Below are 23,252 nucleotides of genomic sequence, written 5' to 3'. Positions count from 1 at the left end.
GCCTGTGTGGATGGTGTCTTTCTTGGTGACCCTGGCAACTGCAAACCATGCAGAGCGTTGACATCTTGGGACTGCTGCTTCTAGTAGTAAACAATGTTAGGATCTTTGCCATCATCCATGCAGTGGGATTCCTCCAGTGGAACCGGAAACAGCTGTCCTTTGCTCAACCATTTCTTACCATTTCTAGCTGCGGTGCAGATCTATTTCCTATAAAATCTAAGTAATAGCCTGAAAACAGTTAAGGGCAATGTACTGTGTAGTATTGTAGTATTAAGCTTGCCTAATGGGCAGCAGAGTTCTCCTGTGGTTCCAGAAGTACTACTACATTAAAAAAAAATCTGTTTTGTTATTCACGTGCTTTAGAACTCTGAGCCTTTATTTGCATTAAAATTATATCAAATGCTTTGAGTATTCTTGAATTTCATTATGATGAAATTAATATATGCATGTCTTAGTCTGGGTGCCCTCAAAGAAAAGCCTGAGATAAGGTTTATGTGCATGTAGAAAGTGTATTTGGGAGGAGGAGGGAGAGACTGGGAAGAGTGAAACGGGAGAAAGACCATTGCAAAACTTTGTTATGGCGCTGGTATTCTGGGCACAACAATGATCTGGTCACTGCTGTGGACAACCAAGGATAAATTGCTGGGACCTGTTGAGGGGCCTAAAAATGCATTTTACATTACAATAGAGTATTTATCTGATGACTCTATCCCTGTGGGTTAAAGATTGCCTTGTGGGGTGTGAATGCTGTAAATCGCCTGCAGTCAAAGAGCAGAAAATCTATGGAGAGGGAGCAAGGTGTGGTGGGGTCTCCGTGCCGGAAGCCGAGTGCCACAGGACGGGCTTAAGTTAAAGAATTTGAGATGAGTTGCAAGAGGTGGCTGAATGAATACCTAACGTAGAAAAACTTGGAAAATAAAAAAAAAAAAAAAAAAAGGTTTGGCTTTAAGTAGAAATTGCCCATTATCATACCATCCAGAGAACTACCGGCCAATGTTCTAACATCATTCTATCTAGGCATTTTATTTTTTAATTTCATATTTCACAGCTTTTTTTATAATTAACCATTTTTGTATCTTCAATATATTTCCATGTTAATAAATACACCTCTGTGAAACTTTTAAATGATTGAACAGTATTTCATTATACAGAGGTGCTAGTATCTCTCATCTCTTGTGGTTGGTCATTTAGATTGTTCCTAATTTTCTATCATTTAAAAATAATGAAGACTAACTTGTTGTATACTTGTTCAATTATTCCTTTAACATTAACTCCTAGAAGTGAGATTCCTATGTCAAAGTTATGCACATTTCTAAGGCTTTTAGTGCCTAATTGCCCTCCAGAAAAGTTATAACTATCTCCCATCATTGTGTAAAACTGTCTTTATTTGATATTATTATGATTATGCTGTCTCCATTTGATACTATTGTTTCTAACTTCTAGCAATTTAATATGTAGTTATATTTTATAATTATTAATTTTTGTATTGTCTTAATTTTTCACTTTTCTTCCTCCATTTCTAGTGAACTTTTTAAAATTTTCAAAAGTTTATTGACAATTTGTATATTTAATTTTATAAATTTTTTATTTGTGTTATTTGCCTATTTTTCTGTTTAGGTCTTCATGTTTCTAGTATTAACTTGTAATTAGTCATTTTAATATTAAAAAAGACTTCTAAAATATATTATAATTATGCAATTATAATAATTTATAATACATATGCAATTGAAGATAAAATATATCTCTAAATACTTTATCATATGCAAACCTTAAATTTTCCTTATTTATTCATTAATGGGCTTTTTGATATTTAAATTTAACATTTTATGTAGTCAAAGATATCACTATGTTTTGTGATTTCTGTCTTTGGAGATAATGCTTATGAAGATTTTCCTCTCCCCAAAAGTATAAAAATTCACCTACACTTTAATAGTCCTTTGTGGTTTAATTTTCTATATTTGTTCTACACCTGGAATTTATGTTACAATATGGCATAAGGTCAAGATTAAACTTTATTATTTTTCTCCAAATAGCTGATGATTTACCTAAAAAATTTAACATTAAAGGGCCAGGCACAGTGGCTCATGCCTGTAATCCCAGCACTTTTGAAGGCCAAGGTGGGTGGATCACGAGTTCAGGAGATCGAGACCATCCTGGCTAACATGGGGAAATCCCATCTCTACTAAAATACAAAAAACTAGCTGGGTGTGGTGGCACGCACCTGTAGTCCCAGGTACTTGGGAGGCTGAGGCAGGGGAATCGCTTAAACCCAGGAGGCGGAGGTTGCAGTGAGCCGAGATCGCGCCACTGTACTCCAGCCTGGCTACCGAAAAATACTCTATCTAAAAAAATAAAGGAAAAAGGAAAAAAAGAAAAAGTTAACATTAAAAATATAGCTTTTCCCACTAACTTAAAATGCTAACATTATATCATATAAAATATACTTGATTGCCACTGTTTTTATATTTCTGCTTTTGTTTTTGGAAGGTTTCTAAAAAGGATCAACAACAGTCATATATGCCATGAGGTAAATGAGGGATGACAGAGCAAGTCTTGACACAGAGAACTCAGAGCAAACAAGGGGACCTGGATTGTTTTTTTAAAGCTATTGCATTGTTGCTTTTGTTGTTGTTTTTTGTGCGTGTGTTTTTGGATGCACTACACCTTGCTCAGCATAAAGCAAAGCTTCAATGAAAGCTTTCTGGTTATTTGACTGATTGAGACTGATTTGCATTTTTATGCAGGTGCTACCTAGAATATCCTTTACGATCTTGCTTCAGGACTGAATTTATTTATAAAAATTTATTTTGAGTTGTAGGAGGCTATGCAACTAGTAAGTGAGGTAACTGAGATTGGAACTCAGTTCTGACTGATATCTAAGTGCCTTCCACTCTCAAAGTCCCCAAAAGCCTTTCTGAATTATGTTTTTGATTCCCTTGACCTAAGATTTATGATTGCACTTTAGTGAAACTTTATTATAGTGAGATTATTATATATTTATTTATTGTAAACTGCTCTATCAAGCTAAGATATGAATACTGTGCTGGTCTATCCTTTTCACTCAACACCCCCGCCCCCATCCTCAGCTTTTGCGGCATAAAATACAAAGTAAGAATAGAGTTTAATGCAAATCAAAATAGCTGACATGTTGACTTTACATACATTTATGCTGAAATTAATACACTCTGCAGGATGGATCACTTCTTTAAAAAAATTCACCTTGCATGGTGTAAATGGAAGTTCCAATAATAACAAAAGAAAGAGGAGATGGGGAAAAATCACAATAACCAGATAAAGTGTCATTTTAGTAAACGGAGCATTTGGTTCTGAGATAAAATATTTTTATAATGAAGAAAATTTGCCCATAACTGTATAAGAGTGAAGACAAATCAGAAAAATAAGGCATTAATACAAAGAATAGAGATTTTTCAATTACAGGAACAAATATCACAGGAAGTAAAGACATTTACCTTGCAGCTTTAGAGAGACAATGACAAATTATTTAGTGGAGCATGCCCATTTTAAGACACTCTCTCACCCAAATCATTCATTCCATAAACCTTCATGGAGCCCAACTAAATGCTGCGAGTTAATGCATGAAAGAGAAACAGAACATTGGGTTTTCCAAAAGGAATTAAAGTCTAGTGAGAGAGACAGGTGGTAAAATAACCACAATACAGAGATGAATGAGAAAAGCAATAGAGAAATACACAACATGTTGTGGATATGCTATGAGATGTGTGAGTGGGTGGGCAAACCAGGGACTAAACAGTTAAGTAGTTGTTCCTCCATTTCTAGTACAATTTAAAAATGTACAAATGTTTGTTATTTTTATATTTAATTTAAAAAATTTTTTACTTGTGTTATTTGCCTATTTCTCTATTCAGATATTCATCTTTCTATTATCAACTTGCATAATTAGTCATTTTAATACTAAAAAGACTACTAAAATATATTACATTTATGCAACTAAAATAACATATTAGCCACGTGGGTGACTCACACCTTTAATCCTAGCACTTTGGGAGGCCAAGGCGGGCAGATCACTTGAGGTCAGAAGTTTGAAACCAGCCTGGCCAATATGGTGAAACCCCATCTCTACTTAAAAAACACCAAAAACTTAGCCAGGCATGGTGGCGGGCACCTGTAATCCTGGCTACTCAGGAGGCTGAGGAAGGAGAATCACTTGAACCTGGGAGGCAGAGGTTGCAGTGAGCCGAGATCGCTCCACTGCATTCCAGCCTGGGCGACAGAGTGAGATTCCATCTCAATAATAATAATAATAATAAAATAACATATTATATATATGCAATTGAAAATAAAATATGTTATTTCTCTAAATGTGTTATTATGTGCAAAACTTTAAATATTCCTTATTTATTCATTGATGGGTTTTTGATATTTAAATTTAACATTTTATGTAGTCAAATATATCATCATGTTTTGTTGTGGTTTCTGTCTTTGGACATAATGATTATGAACATTCCCCCCCTACAACAACTGGGGATTATGGAAGCTACAATTCAAGATGAGATTTGGGTGGGGACACAGCCAAACCATATCAGTTAAATAGTTCAGAGTGAGTAGAACAGAAGGTGCATAGAGGCATACAGTAGGAAATGGAGCCACGTAGATAAAGTTTAGTTACACTTTTGAATGCACATAATAGAAACCCAACTTAAATTAGTATAAGCAGAAGGAAATCAATGAAAGGACACTAGATTATTTCATGGACTGCCCAAATAACAGAGATCATGGAGTCATCTGAGCCTCAGAAACAATAAGAAATAGTTTCTTGAACATCATAGTCACCTTATTCTCCTCCCTTTTGGCCTAAAATGGCAGCCTTATTCTTCTCCAATCTGGATGAATACCGTGATCCACATAGTTTGTGGGCTTTATGTACCACAGCCTTGGGCCCATTGATGCTGCTTACGTCAGGCAACAAACTCAAACCAGTCAATTTGGTCAGGGGTAGAGAAAGATATTTCCTAGAAGAAGAAAGGGAACCTCCTGAGAGGTAGTTCTACAGATTTCTACTGCAAATAGGAAATGGCCACACTATAATTAGCAAGTTACAAGAGTCTAATTTACCTTCCAATTATCCTCTTCTTTTTCTTCATCTCCTCCCCACCCGAACTTGTGTATCTTCATCCTATATCCTCTTCCGTTGATCATCTTCTCATCTCTCATGGCCTTTTCCTGTTCAGTGGCTTCTTCTTTCTGGTGTGTCCTTTCCAGGTATTTTTCAGAGTACAGAGGCACTAGCTGAAATGTCTAGATCAAAAGCAATCATTCCTAAATTTAGAAGCCACTATTTCTTTCATCTCTATTTTCATTTGTCAAATGCTCACTGAACACTGTGGGGATGAAGAGATTGAAAATCAATAGAAATAAGAACAGCTTAAATGTGTTGCAAGATCACCATATGCAAAGCCTGAATTATCTCATTTAATTGCACACAGTAGCTCAATGAGCTAATAATAAATTAAATAACAAAAGGGTGTGGCTGGGATACAAACCTGGGCTGACTCCAAAATCTTGTGCATTAGTCACTACACTGTCTGAAATAAAGGATACTGTCTTTGTCCCAAAGATCATTGACTAGTAGATGGGGCAGTACGGAGTGATAAGCACTGTAACATTGGTAAGTACTGGCTTACTAATGAGGAGAATTTCTAGGGGAGGCACCTGACCCAGCATGGAAGGGAGTCTTCCCAGAGAATCCAACCCAAGGTGAATCCTGAAACTGAGCTATAGTTGGCCAGGTTTGTAAGGGCTGCAAAGGCTGCCAAGTGGAAAAAACAACAGGGCAAACACCATGAGTGACAAGAAGGTGATGGTGTACATTTATTGAATGGCACAAGGTTTAGAAAAGGCAGTTGGGATAAAAAACAATGGCAACAGAAGCAACTAGAAAAGCCAATAGCATCCCAAGAAAAGGATGTTATACACTACACTGACTTTGGACATCATCAGAGGCAACAGATAACGTCTGAATGATTTTAAACATCATCAAAGTCATATTTTAGAGAAAACACTCCTGGAGGCGGTGCAGAGTCCAGAGGCTGGGAGACTAATTAAGAAGCAATGTCTCAAATGTAAACTAAGCAATTTGAGGACAGGTACAAATCTTTCATTTCTGTGTTTCCAGAGCCTAACCAATTTTTGTTGAACACATGACTGAATAAAAGGACTGCTGCAGAAATTTAGGCAAGAAATAGGAAGGTCTGAATTAAGGCAGTCACAGTGGGCATGGGAGTTGTCAGATGAATTCTCTAGACAGTAGAACTGGAGAAGACTGCATTTGCCTTTCAACTCATTAGCTATCCTTTTCTCTTTTTCTTTTTAAAATTCTGAACTACATTAAACATTTAGCAGTATTGGAAATAATATAACACTTACTACTCAGGATTAATACATCTTAACTACTTGTCATATTCATATCATGTTTTAAATAATTTTCATGTTGTCAAAATGTACAATTATTATTTGTAATAGCTCTGTGATATACAAGTTGATCAAAGTGATGTACCATAATTTACCTAAGCATTTCTCTATTGTTAGATATACAAGCTACTAGTCGTTTTTGACATATCTTGCTCTGAGAGAAAAACTCTGCAATGAACAGCTTCAACATAGTTGTGTCCTTGAGTAAGATCACTACCTCTTCTTCTTTATTGCTCATTTAGTCTCATATTTGTTGGGATTGGCATCTGGGAAAAGATTGTTGACCTATAATTGGTATAAACATATAGGTTATTCCTTAGTGGAAGGCTGTGAAAGATGTGGTTGTGTCTAAATGGCCTGGGAAGCATCCCAGGAACAGTAGCACATTTTCCAACAAAATATTTTTATTTAAAAAAAAAATTTTAAGTCTGTGTCCATATTGTCAACAACTAGAACAATGCTTGACACTCAGAGGTTGCTCAATTTATCTTTGTTTCAAAAATGAACAAATAAATGAAGAAACAAAAGGGAACAAATACAAACAAATCAACTTAAAACTCCAAAGTCTATTACATGTGTATTTATTCATGTTCAGTTTTCTAGAATGCACCGTTTCCACCAGGATCAGAAACATAATGGGAAGGTTTAGAAAGAAGTCATATCATATTTAGAAAATAACAGGACACTCAATTTAGAAAATAAATGTTTCATTTCAAAGAGAAGAAAAATCCACTAGAACCCTTTTGTGTGTAGTAGCAGGAATTAGGCTAATGAATTGGAGGCAGCGTATCAGAGAGGGAAGGAGGGAGAGACAACTGCCCATTATACACCTCATTCGTTACAGGGAGGAACAGGGAAGTACAGTGGGGATTGGGGACCGGCCAAGGAACTTCCTGATTTGGCATCAACTGTGAAATCTCAAGTAAGTTCATTCTGTGTAATAAGGGCGTTTGTCAATATTCTAGTGTCTTAGAGTTTAGGCTCTAGGGGCCAACAGGTTTGCTTTCAAGCTTTGCCAACAAATACTACTGAATAAGGACTATTTACTTATCCTTTTCCAGTCTTTGTTTCCTCATATAGAGATGAAAACAATACCTACTTTATAAAGTTGTCGTGAAAGTTAAATGAAGTAAAGTTCTTGGTATATAATAACCTCTCAATAAATTCCATCTGTAACAATTAATATTGTCTGATCTGAAATTCTACCATCTGTAATCCTGTGGCATGCTTACTTCACATAGCAGTTGTACTGAGAGCAAATTTGGTCTTATGGGATACACACTATTTGTATCTGTACCCAGTTCACCGCGACACTGTTTCCTAACTCCCTGTCACTCAAAATGCAATCCATAGACCAGCATCAGAATCACAGAAGAGTTTTTAAGAAATGCAGACACAGGCCCTATCCCCAAACTACCTAATCAGAAGCTGCATTTTTAGCACAGGCCCTAAGGGATTTGTGTGCACATTAATGTTTGAGAAGGGTTCTTTTACCCAATAGTCATCCTCCTCCCCTTTTAACTACTGGTATTCCTGTGAGCCGCAGTGAATCATAATTGTGCTAAGCCAATCATTATCCTTCTGCTTCCCTGGGAAAGTAGACATCAGAAGTTCACTTTCCTAGCTACATTCTGAAGCTGGAGTGTGGTCCTGTGACATCATTCTGACCAAGGATGTAGGGTAAGTTACTTGGGAGGCTTCCAGAAACATTTTTCTCTCCCTCTGCCCTCCCATACACCTTGCTTCTTCCCCTTGAATCCTGAGAGAGCATAAAATCCCTGGAATTGGGTTGCTATTTAGCATTCACATAACAACAATGAGGAAAGGCCAACACAGTGAAGAAAACGCCAACACTATGGAGATGGCAGAGTATAAGGTTAGGGCCTGAGTCTTTGAGGATATTGTTGAGGTGCTGATCCAGCCCCGATAGTGCCCACATCAAGTGTTCTCATTAAGAGAATGTGTAATAAAGAACTAGCCTTACCCAAAGTGAGGTCTGGTCTTTGCCTTCAACTACTGGAAGGTAATGTCTGAATCCTTGAAACATTACACCTGATAGGCATGTCTTTGATGACCTCAGTCACCACATAGTCTAACAGTGTGATTTACAATGGGGGCTTTTGGTGGAAGTAGTCATTTCAGTTTTGCCTTTGAATGAACTGGAGTCTAGAAGTATCAGCCTGACCTCTGAAAAGTCTGGAGACTACAGGTCAGCCATGTAGGCTGTATAAAATCTCTGGACACTGAGGCTTTGGTCAGCTTCACTTGCAATACTCTGTGTGTGTCACACATTGTGGCCAGAAGGAGTTAAAGAGTTAACACTGTCCATGACTCCATGGGGAGAGGATGACTGTAAACTGAACAGTTAGATTCCACCTGGACTCTGTCCTTGATTTTAATCTGTATTTTTTCCCTGTAATAAACTGTAACTGTTTACAGTAAGTTCTTTGGATGTTTCTAGTGAATTATCTAAGAGTGGTTCTGGGGACCCCTAAGCTTGCAACTGATTGCAGAAGTGAAGTTAGTCTTATGTGGAGGACTATTTCCTCTAATGCTCACAGTTGGTGAAAACTCCTCACAGCGTAACTTATTCTATTCATTAAACCGCCCTCCATAGGACATTGTATTGTCAGATGCCTTGTCTACCCTAAAGGATATACAGTGGTTCTCAAAGTGCAGTCCATAGACCAGAATCCTTTACATTTTTGAAAAACATTAAAGACTTCAAGGAACTTTTATGTAGGTCACATCTATTGATAGTCACTGTGTTCAAAATTTAAATAGAAAACCTTCAAAAATTGCTTATTAATCCATTTAAAATAACAATAATAAACACATTCCATGTTAGCATAAGCATTTATATATAGATTAAAAAGACTGTGTTTTTCTCCCCAAACTAAAAAGGAACACTTTTTGCATTTAAAAAAATTATTTAATACTGGCTCAATAGAAGATAGCTAAATTCTTATATCTGCTTCTGTGATATGTTGTAATATGTAATTTTGGTAGAAGTATATGAAGAAAATTTAGCTTCATGCTACTGTGTAGTTGGAAATGAGAGAAATATTTTAATGTCTTTTTCATATAATTTTGCGTTTCTTTTTTGATACATTAGTCAAACTAAACAGGTGGTAGTTTTCTAAAGGTTAGTTGCAATGTAGAATCTGAAATTATATCAATTAACTTTTCATACTCTTTTTACACTGAAATCCATTGATTTACCTACCTAGCACATTCAATGGATCTTTTACTCATGCATGATTTTGTAACATCATACATTGATGTTACACTTGGAAAATATTGGTTCACTGAGTTGTGCAGATCTTTTAATTGTTGACATGTTTGATTATATAATATTTTTAAAGTCACATTTTTCAATAGCATCACTAACCCCATCAGGAAAGTCTTAAAGTTTTAGGAAGCTTTGAAGCTCACGGTGGCCAAGTTTTCCAATATTCTAATTTTTGGTTAGAAGCTCAAGTTTTATCATTAGCACCAAATCTTGTCAGTTGTTTTCCTTGGAATGGAAGGCTCATTTTAGATAACATATTTACCCAAAACCCAAGTTTGTCTATAAAAAAAATGGTATTCCACAAAAAGCGCGGCTAGTTCAACTAGTAACTCAATCTCAAGAGTGCTTTTCCTTGAGGCAACCATCACTCTTTTGTGCTCAGAAGAAGTATTTTATGCACTCTTCCTATTTCATTACACAGAACATTAAAAAGCACATGTGCACAGGGTTAAAATTTAATAAAATTAATAATTTTAAATTTTTACCACTTCATCAAGGTTATTCCTAAGTAAAACTGGCACATTTTTACTGCAAGTGTATGGCAGAGAAGAATTTAACATTTGGTGCCATTGCTTTAATTCATCCTGAGTCGCCAGCCATTTTACCCAGAGTTTGCTTTTGTATCATCGTTGCAAATGTCAAAAAAGTGAAAATGGCAGATAGCATATATTATTATGAAGATAGGTTTGACCTCGATGACCCTCTGTGACTCACTCATAGTGTAAGTGATACATTGGTTTTCAAGAGAATTCAGTGATATCACCAGATCTGCGAAACAGACAACCCCCACTGCTGGTCCCAGGCTGAGATGTGAGTTCTGAAAAGAAGATCCTGATCCTGCAAACTTCCTCTCTCTCAACCTTTCCAGCCCTCCTCCTCTGTTCCCCCTAATGGATTTGATCAACTCATCCATACTAAAAGAACGGTTGAGACTAAGGGCCTCAAAATCAGACCGTCTTGGCTCCCACGTACGTGAATCGGAGCCTCTGTCCTTGCTTCAGTTTTTGCATCTGTAAACTGAGGACAACTAATATGTTGTTTCGAGAATGAAATGAGTTAAATAATATAGAGTGCTTAGAACTCTTCTGAGTGTTGTAAGCTCCCATTAAGCATTAGCTCTTGTTATTACTATTATTTAATACGTTTCTTCGTGTAGCGAGATTTAGCTTTTAACAAGGAGTATCTTGTACAATAGGATTGAATGTTCAGCGATGGAATTTCAAGCACAGTCAGCAGTCAGGATATTTGTTTTTGATTTTTAGGGTCTAGTTTGTGGGGAAAATGGAGATTCAGAGCCCCCGAAACCCTCCATGGGATCAAACTACTCATATTAAGTGACTGTCTTTAATAGGCTTATTCTTAATGGTCAGCTAATACTATAATGACGGAGAGTTCCATGAGCAGGTGGTTATATCTTTGTTCAGTTTTTATATTCTACTAATGTCCTCACATAGCAATAGGCATGTGGTCAAGGGCTGATAAATGCACATAAACTATATATTCTTAAAAGAAAAAAAATTATTTGTAAGTGAACTGCTCCTTGGAAAAATAAATTTTCTAAAAACAACATTTTCACAAGTTTCACTAACCAAACCAAACCAAAAAAAAATAAAAAATAAAAAAACTGGCAATAATGTGAGTCCTCTGACTATAGCTCCCAGCAGAGCACAACGTGAGAATATTGTGACTCCCTAGCCCCTTGACAGCCCGAAAAAGCAGCTGCTCCTTGCATAAGAAAAATAAAGTTTAAAAATAATTTCCCAACAAAAAGAAGTACGGGTTATTGCATGTATTCATATTAGTTTCTGCTCCAGCAGAGAATGGCTTACGTAATTATACTTTGGGAACTGTCTTGTAGAGAGAGATTTATAGTTTTTTGCTTATAAAATCCTATTTCTATTTTGAAATATAGACTCTCAGCAAGTGTCACCCTGAAGAATTGAGCCTACTAGACTATTTTGTTACATCTTAGGGGATAAAAAAGCATGCGGCAGTTACACTATTAAGCCACAGCAATGGAGCTGCCACTCTCAACCTCATTACTCAAGACTCTCTTTAGGTTCAATTATACACCTCTACAGCTAAGGAAGATAGATAGAGGTCATTTGGGAGCTGTAAACCACAATGCCGTGAATGCAGAACTGTGTTCTTAAACTGATTCACACCTTGTTCTCCAGTGTTCTACAGCAGGGGCTTGGATTGAAATGCAGGGGCTATGACTGAAAAGGCTTTTTCTTGGTTTCAGCATCACAACCTGTGCTGGCTGGAAATTATTATGTCCATTAAATGGCAAGGGACAATGAATGTTGCCTTCATTACTTCAGTGGTAGTAGCAAAACCAAACCAAACCAAACCAAAAGAGGACATAGAAGTTCTTGGCCAGAATATCCTTTGGGGAAAGAGGAATGACATTTATAACTCGATTGTGTATTGCTTCAGTGAGAAAGGAATTGGGTAATTGAAAGGAGCAATTTGCTTTTCCAGCACTGACAAAAATACTGTCATGCTGCTCTGATTCAACTCACACATATCTCCCAGTGTGAAACATGTAAAGCGTACCAAAGAAAGTTAATTAAACAGGGCAAATCCACATGAAACTCCTCAAATCTACATGAACTTCTCATCGATGAATGAAAGATTCTTAGAAATTTAAGGTATGTGTATTTTACCGCCCCATAGCTACTACGCCCCTTTGCTTTAATGTCCTGGGCTCAACTTCTGCAACTTCTTCCCTAGCTGTTTCTTTAGATTTCAGAAGGTTGTCACCACTGGGAATTAAAGAGCGCATTAAAAAAATAATTAACAGAAACAGAAATTGTGCCTGTAAGAACACAGTGCTCTAATTCCCTTCACCTGTCTCAAATTAAGTAAACAGGATGTGTCAAGAAATATGGTTTCTACTGCCCCAAAATTTATCTTAATGAGTCCCCAGGAACTAAACAATCTAGGTCTTTAAGTTATATGTCATTCCATTGGACACATATCCATAATGCCAAAGTGTTTCATAAAAGTTCACTTCTGAATTATAGGCCATAAAGAATTTTATTTCCAATGATATATATTCATTTGTAAAGAAACAGGTCCTTTAAGAACTTACTTGAGGCCACTACAGAATCAATCCTGCTTCCTTCTCAGAAGACAATAATGATAGAATTTAAGTAATATACCAGGTCTTCTGTGACATGTTTTTTTCTGTCTAAGTTAATCTTAAAGTTAGATCTTTTTTATGAGATGGCATTTGAGAAGTTTCTTGAACTATAAACACCCTTAAAAACAGTGGACTTAGGAAACATTTCATTGAAATAACATTTAAGGTTATCTCAGATATATTGCTGAGAAAGTATTTTTAAGGGCTAAACATTTTATGGCCATCCTAATGGTGCCTTATAATAGAGCTGAAACATACCAGGATTCTTCCCAGCCTACGGATTTAGTATGTCCTATGAAATGCTATAAGCAGAGACTAAGATGATAAATTTTTCACATTGTATTTATTGAGATTTTACCACTGAAATTCTGCTTGTTGCTGTAAAACAAGGAATTAATTAGTTACATTTTTTGAGCACCTACCATTCCACATTATCAGAGTCTTCCTTGTTTATAGCATTCTATATCACACTTCTCTTCAAAATCACACTTTGGCTGCACTGGCCTTTCTACTCATCAGCTATGGCGAAGTTGCCCATGAGCACTTTCTCTCTAGAACTCTGCTTTCCCAAATATATGTAGATCTGTTTCCTGTTCATCTTTGAGATGATGTCAAAAGTCCCTCCAAGAGAAGTCTGCTCTGATCACTTCCAGCCCCAGCCACTCTCCATCACATTACCATGTTTATTTTTATTTTCTTTGCTATACTTATCACCATATAAAATATTTTGGTTTATAATATGTCAGAACTTGAACATAAACTCATTAAGTGTAGGAACCTTGTCTTCTTGCTTATTGGCAAGTCTCCAGACCCTAGAATGGCAAGCATGCAATAAGTACTAGATGCAATCAATGTATACTAAATTTCAGAAACCTTGGGAAACTTATACTTTCAATTATTAAGAAGGCAAATACTAATCAGTTTAAAAAGAGGGAGAATTCTTTAAACACTGACATGAAAACCATCCATGAGTAATTGTTACATAAAATAACAAGTTGCAGAATAATTCATTTAGGAGAGTACATTCCATTTTAGAAAAAAAGTAATGTATTTACACATGAGCTAGTATATCAATAGAATACAATTTTTTTAACGTAAACATTAGTAATTATTTCTGGAAGAAGAAATTACATGGAACTTTACCTTCTTAATTATACTGATATATCTATATTTCAGTTTTTGATGAATATTCATTTTTTCAACTAATAGCTATTGATTATTTACTATATCCAAGGACTATTCTTGATGCTAACTAGTATGTTAATGGACAAATCAAAGATTATACTTTCACAGAGCTTCCATTCTAAGTTCTATGAGGAAAATAGATCAAATGAAACAAAATAAAGCCAAATTGGGGCACGAAGAGTGACAGGGAGAGGGCTGCTATTTTGGATAGGGTGGTCAGGGAAGACTTTTTTTGGTGAGGTGATGTTTGAGCCGAGACTAAATGAGGTGTTCCATCAGGAGAGTCTTGGCTATGCTGGGGTAATCAACAACCACAAAACCTCAGTGGCTTAAAACAACAAAGATAATTTGTTTCTTGTCCACATCAATGTCCAGCTTAGGTTGATGAGGGCTCTGCAGCCTTCATGCAGTAACCCCTGCCTACTTTGGCTCTGCCATCTTGCGGCAGCCATCTGGAACTTGTGATCTTTCTGATACAACAAGGGAGGAGAAGGCTGGAGAGTCAGACAGCACAACTAAGCACAGCTAAACCTTTCACTTGGAAGTGACATGCCCTTCTCTTCACATGGCATCAGCCTATCATCAATGTAATCCTCTGTGTACCCGCAAGTAAAAGAGAAGCAGATATTAGTGAACATTGTGATGTCTACTATAAAGGATAAGTCATATCAATATCTGGAGGGAGTTTTCAAATAAAGGGGACAGAATTTGCAAAGGCCCTGAGGTGTGTATGAGCTTGTTGTATTCTATGAAGAAAGGCAATGTGGCTAGAGTATAGAAAGAGGAGAAGGGAAGGGGGTGTAGAAGAAGCCAAGGATCAGATTATGTGGGATCTCATAGCCCATCATTATTATTCTAAGTATGATGGGAAATCACTGGCAGAGACTTGAGACTGGGGATGATGTTACAATTTGTGAATCACTCCTGTTATCACAAAAATACAACAACATAAATGTAGCTATGATAAACAAAAATGATAGGCTATCAAAGTGAATAGATATGTAAGGACAAAAAGAATTATTAATCAGGTAAATAGAAAGTGATCCAAATAGTTTCAAGATGCAGGCAGTTCCAAAGTTTTGATTTCATATGAATAAATCCCTCAGGGGTGTGTGTGAGTGTGTGTGTGTGTGTGTGTGTAACACCAGCTGAAGCTCTAAAATGTCAAAAGACACGGAAAAGATATGAGCCCCTTTAATATGGGCAAACAAGTTAATTCAGTATGCACAGATGGCTGCTACATGGAGTTGGAGATAGGGCAGCTTCCAATTGAAGGCAGCCAGAAGCTGCTGTTACTGCCTCTTGGGAAAAGAAACTTAGAGGTTTTTTGAGCAGCTCTTTGCCATTTTAATGGGATTTTTGTAGTCTTCAGTCCTTTCTCAGTGTTCCTAGAATCTCTGGGTATATGTATGTCTTCTCGCTAGACTCTAACTGGAAACATCCCTGGTACTTTTGGTATATTCCTGAGTGTTGAAGGTGAATCAAAATTCAATTTCCCAGGTTCACATTGCTGGGCATCCTGCCCCACTAGTAGGCCTTCAGGCCCACCTGGGTCTATTCTTGTAATAATTAAGTGAAATTGTAAAGGGCAGAGAGTGCTGTATGAATATAAACTACCAAGAATAGAAAAAAATAGACATCCTCTGGGTCTTGCAGGATATATGCAGTCTGTTGTTGTTGTTGTTGTTTAAGCAAGAAGTTCAGCCTTCCAAACAACAGAACCCAGAGGAAAGAAAGAATTCAGCCCTGTTTGTGAAACATGATGCCCGATTCTCTTCCTACTGGTGTTATCATCTATTAATTTCAGCAAATTAGCCCATTCTCCCCCTCTTTCTCTACTCCCACAGCTAAGTCATTACTGAATCCTGTAAATTTTACGTGCTAAACATTTCTCACATTAGTCCATTCATGATCATCTCCACCCACTTCCTGCTCCCGTCCTGTCCAAAGTCCCATCACGTCACCCCTGAATTACAAATTTGCTCCCTAACTCGTCTCTGACTTCCACCCTTGTCTGATTAGATCCAGTCTATAGGCAGCACTCAGGGGCAAGTTTTCCTCTTCCACGTCTAGACATGTCTGCTTCTTTTCTTAAACCTTTCAATGATTTCTCATTGTTTTCAGACAAAAAACAAAATCTTGGTCGATAAAAAAAACAAAAAAAAAATAAAATATAACAAACAAAAAATCATAATTCAGAAACAGCTACCTCGTCTACCTTCTGCTTATGTTTTCGGCTTTGTATCACTCTGTCTTCCTCCACTTCATAACTTCCTTCACTAGGGAACTCCAGCCACGTTGCCCTTTCAGTAAAATGTACAAGCCCCCCACCCACTTTAAGGAGACCCACTAATGCTCTTCTCTAGGTCTAGGATAGTGTCTCCTTGACCCCCCTAACCTCACCTCATCTTCTTTGTTCTGGTTAACTACTATTTAAACAGAACTCCTATTGGGTTCTGTTTCTTAGTTATTTGCTTTGACTTTATTTTATTGAGAACACGGTGTGTAGGCAGTAATTCCTCAATATTTTTGAGATTTCCTTTGTGGTGTAATATGTATTACATTTTTAGATATGTTTTAAGTATGCTTAAAAATATGTATTCTCTGTTAGGTGCAGTATTTATAAAGGTCTATTAACAGGCTTATTAATTATGTTATTAAATGATACCAATGTATGGGTTAGGTTGATCAATTACTAAAAGAAGTATGTTAAAATCTCCCACTGTAAGTGTGGATCTATCAATTTCTCCTTGTAGTTTTCCTAGTTTTTGCCATAGCTTTTCCATCTGTGTTGTTAGTATCTATAAGTTGGAAATCTTCTTATGATAATTTTTTTTAGCATTGTGTTTTGCTCCTCTATATTTTTCGATAATGCTTTTTAAAATGATACAACTTTTTCTTTAAAGCCATTTTCATTTGAACTTGGCTTCGATGAGCTTGTTCATTTGAAGGCAAGTTATCTTCTTTGAGATTACTTTAAAGATTAACGTTACCTTTGTTATTTTGGAATTTTGCTGTGAAGTCTGGGTATGGGTTACTATTTATTTGTCAAGTAAATTGTCATGCTTTCGTAATCTGAGAATTCATTTCTTTGGTCAATTCTGGAAATATTTTATTCTTATGTTTGAAAATTACTTTTTTTATTCTCTCTACTCTCTTCTTTGAGAAATTCTATTAATGGATACTGAACTTTTTTTTATTAGGTCCCACATATATCTTAATGTCTTTATAATTTTCATTCCTTTATCTCTATAAACTTCATTATGTGTAATTGTCAAACTTATTTTCTCATTTACCAGACTTTCACTGGTTGTATTTAACCTTGTGTTTAAGCTATTTACTAAGTTTCTAATTTTAAAAACATTTTTTTAATTTCAAGAAATACCATTTGCTTCCCTTTCTACTGTTTCTTTGTTAATGGTGTTCCATCCATTTTTAGGTGTGTAATTATTCTTTAATGGCTTTAATTATTTTGAACATACTTATTGATACTCCTTTCTGATTATTGTTCTATTAGCTTGGGTTTATGAAATTCTAGTTCTGCTATTTGTTGAATTGGTTTTGTAATTATTTTTAGTATAGCAGAGCCCTTCCTCATCCCCCAGAGACAGTCTTTGTGACCTGGTTGTGGGATTATATCTTGAAATGAGTTTTATATTGCTTCATTCTGGATCATTGTTTTAGAAACAATATTTAAATTAAATCTTTAATTTAAGGCTTCCCAGACCATGAGGGTGTATAATATCTAGGCAAACATAAACAAATTTGCTTGTTGTCTACCTAAGCCAATGGGAAGCTTTTTTTCTTTTCGTTTATCCTTTCAGGAATGATACAGTTCTTTTAGGATCTTGGCTTTACATGGGGGTATTTCAGTTCTAACTCTCTGCCTCAAACAGACCTGAGAACTGTGGAAATAAAAATTTATGGCCCAGGCCACAATCCCGTGATTCCCACTAGCATGCCTGTTCCCAATGTAGCTGTAGTGGATCCACACTTGCTAACCATCCTGGTGTTCCTTTTTCTCCTCCTTTCTGGTACTTTAATATTTCTCTTTACTTATTGTGAATTGAACTATTCATACAAAAGAATGTTTATTATCTATGGTGTATCCACATGGTAGTCTGAGCCCTGAAAAGAACACAGACAAAGTCATTATGAATTCATATGGAATGATTTTCAGAATAGGTTGTTAAATAAAAGAATAGAGTGCAAAAACAAGTATATGCTATGTTTTATGACAGAAAGAAGAGAAAATAAAAACTAAAATATGTAAATAAATGTGTATGTGTGCATGTAGGCACTTATTTTTGCAAGGAAGAACATGGGGAGGATAATTTAGATTCTAATTAAAAATTGTTTAATTAAGGAGGTGAGTCATCAGAGGAAGGTAGAGTATAGAGATTAGAGGGAGACATCTTGAGTATATGATTTTATGTAGTTTTGACCTTTGAAATATGCAAATGTTTTACATGTTCAAAAACCATAGTACATAGAAAAAGACGAGTCAACTCTAATATTTACATACAGAAACAAATGAACCTAACTGTATATCAAATTGATAACATAATTAAACAAATAAAGTAATTAATTTGAATACTTTTTGTACACAGTAATCTAACTGTATATCATTAATGGGTTAGAGTCCATGGTCAAAAGGTACTGTAAAGAAACCTTGAACTTTAGTTAGAAGATTTGTTTTTTATAGTGGTATTGGTGTAGCGCAGTCACTATAAAATAATTTTGCATGTTTTGCACAACAAATGAGTAAATATATTAATGTTAGAAATTGGCATCCTAACTGTGGGAGGAGATAAAATGTAAAATCAAGAAGTTAAGAGCCCTATAATGCAGGATGTGAAGGCATAGTATGAATCCATGATTTATAACTGATAGGTCCTAGCTCTGTCCACTAAAAGGGCCAGAGAAGTAATGACACCCCTCAGTTGTGAGCACATTGAATGCCTAGACTTTGTTTTCAAAATGCCTTTTCTCCCACTATAGTCTGTGTTTGCACAGATATAGAGAAAGTTGGAAAATTATCCACCAAAGAGTTTGCAATGATAATGGAATGGAAAAGTTGGACAGCAAGCAGACTAAAAAGAAAAAAGGGAGAGAACACCTTTACGTAGATTCACTTGTTACAATGACCAACCACTGTTTTCGTAATTTGAAAATTTGAATGAAGTAAATATTATCAGATACTACGCATATTACCTAGGTGATGAAATAATCTGTTACACCAAACCTCCTGACTTGCAATTTACCTATATAACAAACCTGCTCATGTACCTCTAAGCCTAATATAAATGTTTTTATAAAAGACTGTTCACACAGAATAAGAATAGAAACATGTATATATCTTTTCAGCAATTATTTACACGCAGAAAGTAAAATAAACCTTGTTCTATTTTTTAGTTTTAATTTTTTATTAAATGTATTTCAAACTAAAATTTGCAATAGACTTATATCCACCATGAGTTATTTTCATGAGTTATTTCATGCTATACAAAGACATACAGAGGCAATCTCCTTTACCTCACCTCCTTTACTTCTGCCTCCTTGGAGTTACAAATTATAAAAGCACGGTGTGTAACCCAATATATTTTTCCTGTCTTACAAATATCTGGAATTTCTTGTTTTACAGTGTTTGATAGGGTTTCGATTCATTTTTTTCTATATAAATGATAAATTGGGTTAGCACCATTTATTAATTAATTCTTCTCTAATTATATTTTTAAGCCAGTTGCAGTGGCTCACACGTGTAATTCCAGCACTTTGTGAGGCCGAGGCAGGCAGATCCCTTGAGCCCAGGAGTTCGAGACCAGCCTGGGCAACATGCTGAAACCCCATCTCTACAAAAAATACAAAAATTAGCTAGGCATGGTGGTACACACCTGAAGTCTCAGACACTCAGGAGGCTGAGGTGGGACAATGGCTTGAATCTGGGAGGCAGAGGTTGCAGTGAGCCAAGATCGTGCCACTGTATTCCAGCCTGGACAATAGAGTCAGACCTTGTCTCAATAAATAAATAAATACACTTTTAAATAAATCAATGCCTGAACCTTTTCCCTAATGACCAGCCCAGCCATAGGGTAGGAAATCTTTAACATGTCTCTCTGAAGATATTGTACTAGTTGCTTATTTTATTTATTATTTATTTATTTATTTTTTTTAGTTTTTTGAGACAGAGTCTCGATCTTGTCACCCAGGCTGGAGTGTAGTGGCGTGATCTTGGCTCACTGCAACCTCCGCCTCCCAGGTTCAAGCAATTCTTCTGCTTCAGCCTCCTGAGTAGCTGGGATTACAGGCACCCACCACACACCCGGCTAATTTTTGCACTTTTAGTAGAGACGGGGTTTCGCCATGTTGGCCAGGCTGGTCTCGAACTCCTGACCTTGATCCGCCTGCCTTGGCCTCCCAAAGTGCTGGAATTACAGGCATGAGCCACCATGCCCAGCCCTAGTTACTTATTTTATATGTGGATATTGTTGGCACTCAATACTCATTTATTGCCTGACTCTCATGTACTTGGGTGTGGCAATTTTGGTCAGTCTTACAGACTCCAACGTGGTCTTCACAAACTGTGATGCCAGTCTAAGTTTTTATCTTTTTAAATAGCTTGTCCTTTCTCCAAAATAAGGGTAAGATTATCACTTTATCTTTGAGGTTCAGTAATTTTATAAACATATACCTATGAAAATGTCTTATGAAGCCTGTGCAGTAAACCCTTTAAAAATACAGACTTGGTTCTTTAGTTCAAGGAAATTTTCTTTCTTTACTTTTTAAAAAAGAGACAGGGTCACACTCTGTTGCCCAGGCTGGAGTGCAGTGGTGTGATCATAGCTCACTGCAGCCTCAAATACCTGGGCTCAAGCAATCCTCCCACCTTGGCCTCCCAAAGCACTGGGATTGCAGGCATGAGCCACTGAATCTGGCTGGAAATGTTCTATTGCTAGTTTATGTTTGGCGTCTCCCCCATCTGTTTCTTGTTTCTATCCTTCAATAGTAATCATTATATATACATGAGGTCTCATCTGTCCATCTCTAAAGTTTCATCTTTTCTTTCACAATTTGGATCTCTTTGTACTTTAGTTCTAGGATTTAGGATTTAGAAGATTTCTTCTAGTGATTTTTTAGGTCAATTGCGACCATCATGTTTTTAAACTCATTTATTATGTATTTTTCAGTTCAAAATAATGTTTTCTATTCCAGAGTCTTTTTTGTGTGTTGATCTTAAATCCAATCTAATTGTGCAAGTTGACACCTGTCTCCTTAAACAACTACTTTTCTTAGGAGACTTCTATTTACCCTTTTCTGTCCCTTGATCCCTGCCTAGATATATAGCTTTTTTTTCTTTCCTCTCCATTGTGTCCCTAAGGTGTCAGCACTCCAGTTGCAAGGGGACTTTAAGTGGCAGTGGTCCCTGCAGGCTATTGGTGCAGCAGCAGACAGGTGTTCAGAATCCCTGATGTGATCTCTGTTTCTTGTATCTCTAAGCCTCATGGGTGAAGAGGACTCTTCCCCACCTGTTCACTTCTAAGCCCTTGTGGGCTAGGATGGCCCACCACATTCCCATGTACAGAAGGTAAGCTTCGCTGAGGACTGGAAATCTCTACAGTCATCTGCTTCTGAAGTGCTCTCCGGCTGGTCCTCAGGACCAGAGCACAAAGGACAACTATAGCTCCTTCACTAATGTTCTCCAAGCTTACCTGACACTGCCCTCAGGAGTCACTGGCTGAGGAGAGACAGATGAGTTGGAATGGAGTTGAGAGTAGCAAGAATGCAGAAACGTCCATCTTCCTAGAATCCCCTGCCTCTTCATGCATTAAGTTTGATGATAAGTAATTTCCCTTCTCTGGAATCAGTAATTCAATCAATTAATATTCACATAAAAAATGTTGGTCTGGGGACAGTTATCTTGTACAATGGTGGTGATAATTAAAAGTATTATCAGCATTATGAACACAGAGGAAGCAAATAAAATATGATTGAAAGTCGATTGAACCTCTGTGATACAATATGGCTGTGTCCCCACCCAAATCTCATTCTCAATTATAGCTCCCATAATTCCCATGTCTTGTGTGAGGGACCCAGTGGGGGATACTTGAATCATGGGAGCGGTTCCCCCATCCTGTTCTCATGATAGTGAATAAGTCTTACGAGATCCAGTGGTTTTATAAACCAGTTTCACTTGGCTCTCATTCTCTCTTGTCTGTCACCATGTAAGACGTGCCTTTCACCTTCTGCCATGATTGTGAGGCCTCCCCAAACACGTGAGTCCATTAAACTTTTTTTCTTTATAAATTACCCAGTCTTGGGTATGTTTTCATCAGCAGCATGAAAATGGACTAATACACTGTGTTTTAGAGAAAATTTACCAAGGCAACTGTTTGTTTGTTGGTTTGTATGTTTGATTTCAGTGGCAGGGAAGGGAGAAGGAGAAGAAAAGAGATTCTCATGATCTGTGACTGTTCTTTCTGAAATTCAGGTAACAAAGCTTTGTAAATGTTAAAAATTATATAATAACTAATAGGACACTTACGCCACTTTTTCTTATAGGATAACATGCTTTAAAAATGTGTGAAGTATGGGGAAAAGAAAAATCCCAGATTTAAATGTTATGTTATTTTCCTAATTGCATAAATTGATGCCTATGTAAAAGTTTTTTTTAATGAAAAAGTTTCACTGTCATTGGCGAAAACATAATAGATCAAAACTGAAATCTTCATTTCCATTTGATTGGTTACAGAGAGAAACTAAAGGGGTATATTTTTAAATGGCTCACCTTTTGGGGCTAAAACAATAGGTAGCTGTCTCCTGTATTTTTATTGCTGTGTAACAAATTATCACAAACTTTAAGGCTGAAAAGAGCACTTATTTCCTATCTCACAGTGTCTGTGGGTCAGAAGTTGGGGTGCAGTTTAGGTGGGTTCACTGCAAGGCAGTAATTGAGGTGTAGACTGGGACTGGTGTCTCGTTAGAGGCTGGACTGGGAAAGAATGCACTTCCTCACTCACATAACTATTGGCAGGATTTAGGTTTCTGTGGTTGTAGGAATGACTGACAGTGTCAGTTTCTCACTGGCTGTTGGCTGGCAGTCACTCTCAGCTCCCAGGTGCTGCCCACAGCTCTTTGCCATGTGGACTTCTCCATAGGCAGTTCACAGATTGCTTCTTC

The 23,252-nt window shown here is 36.7% G+C and overlaps 1 long non-coding RNA gene across 3 annotated transcripts in view; it reads right to left on the bottom strand.

Annotated features, from left to right (window-relative positions):
* LOC105373899 (uncharacterized) overlaps window positions 1-23,252 on the bottom strand; it is a 101,158-nt gene that overhangs the window by 33,322 nt on the left and 44,584 nt on the right. For all 3 annotated transcript variants that reach the window (XR_923942.1, XR_001739235.1, XR_001739234.1), the window contains 3 exons: window positions 21,785-21,930; window positions 5,095-5,277; window positions 4,813-4,991 (listed from right to left, as the gene is read on the bottom strand). This is a non-coding gene — a long non-coding RNA (uncharacterized LOC105373899). The remainder of the gene's footprint in view (window positions 1-4,812; window positions 4,992-5,094; window positions 5,278-21,784; window positions 21,931-23,252) is intronic.

The sequence above is a fragment of the Homo sapiens genome, chromosome 2, assembly GCF_000001405.40.
Source record: "Homo sapiens chromosome 2, GRCh38.p14 Primary Assembly".
Lineage (NCBI taxonomy): Eukaryota > Metazoa > Chordata > Mammalia > Primates > Hominidae > Homo > Homo sapiens.
This window is presented reverse-complemented; position numbering and strand designations above follow the sequence as displayed.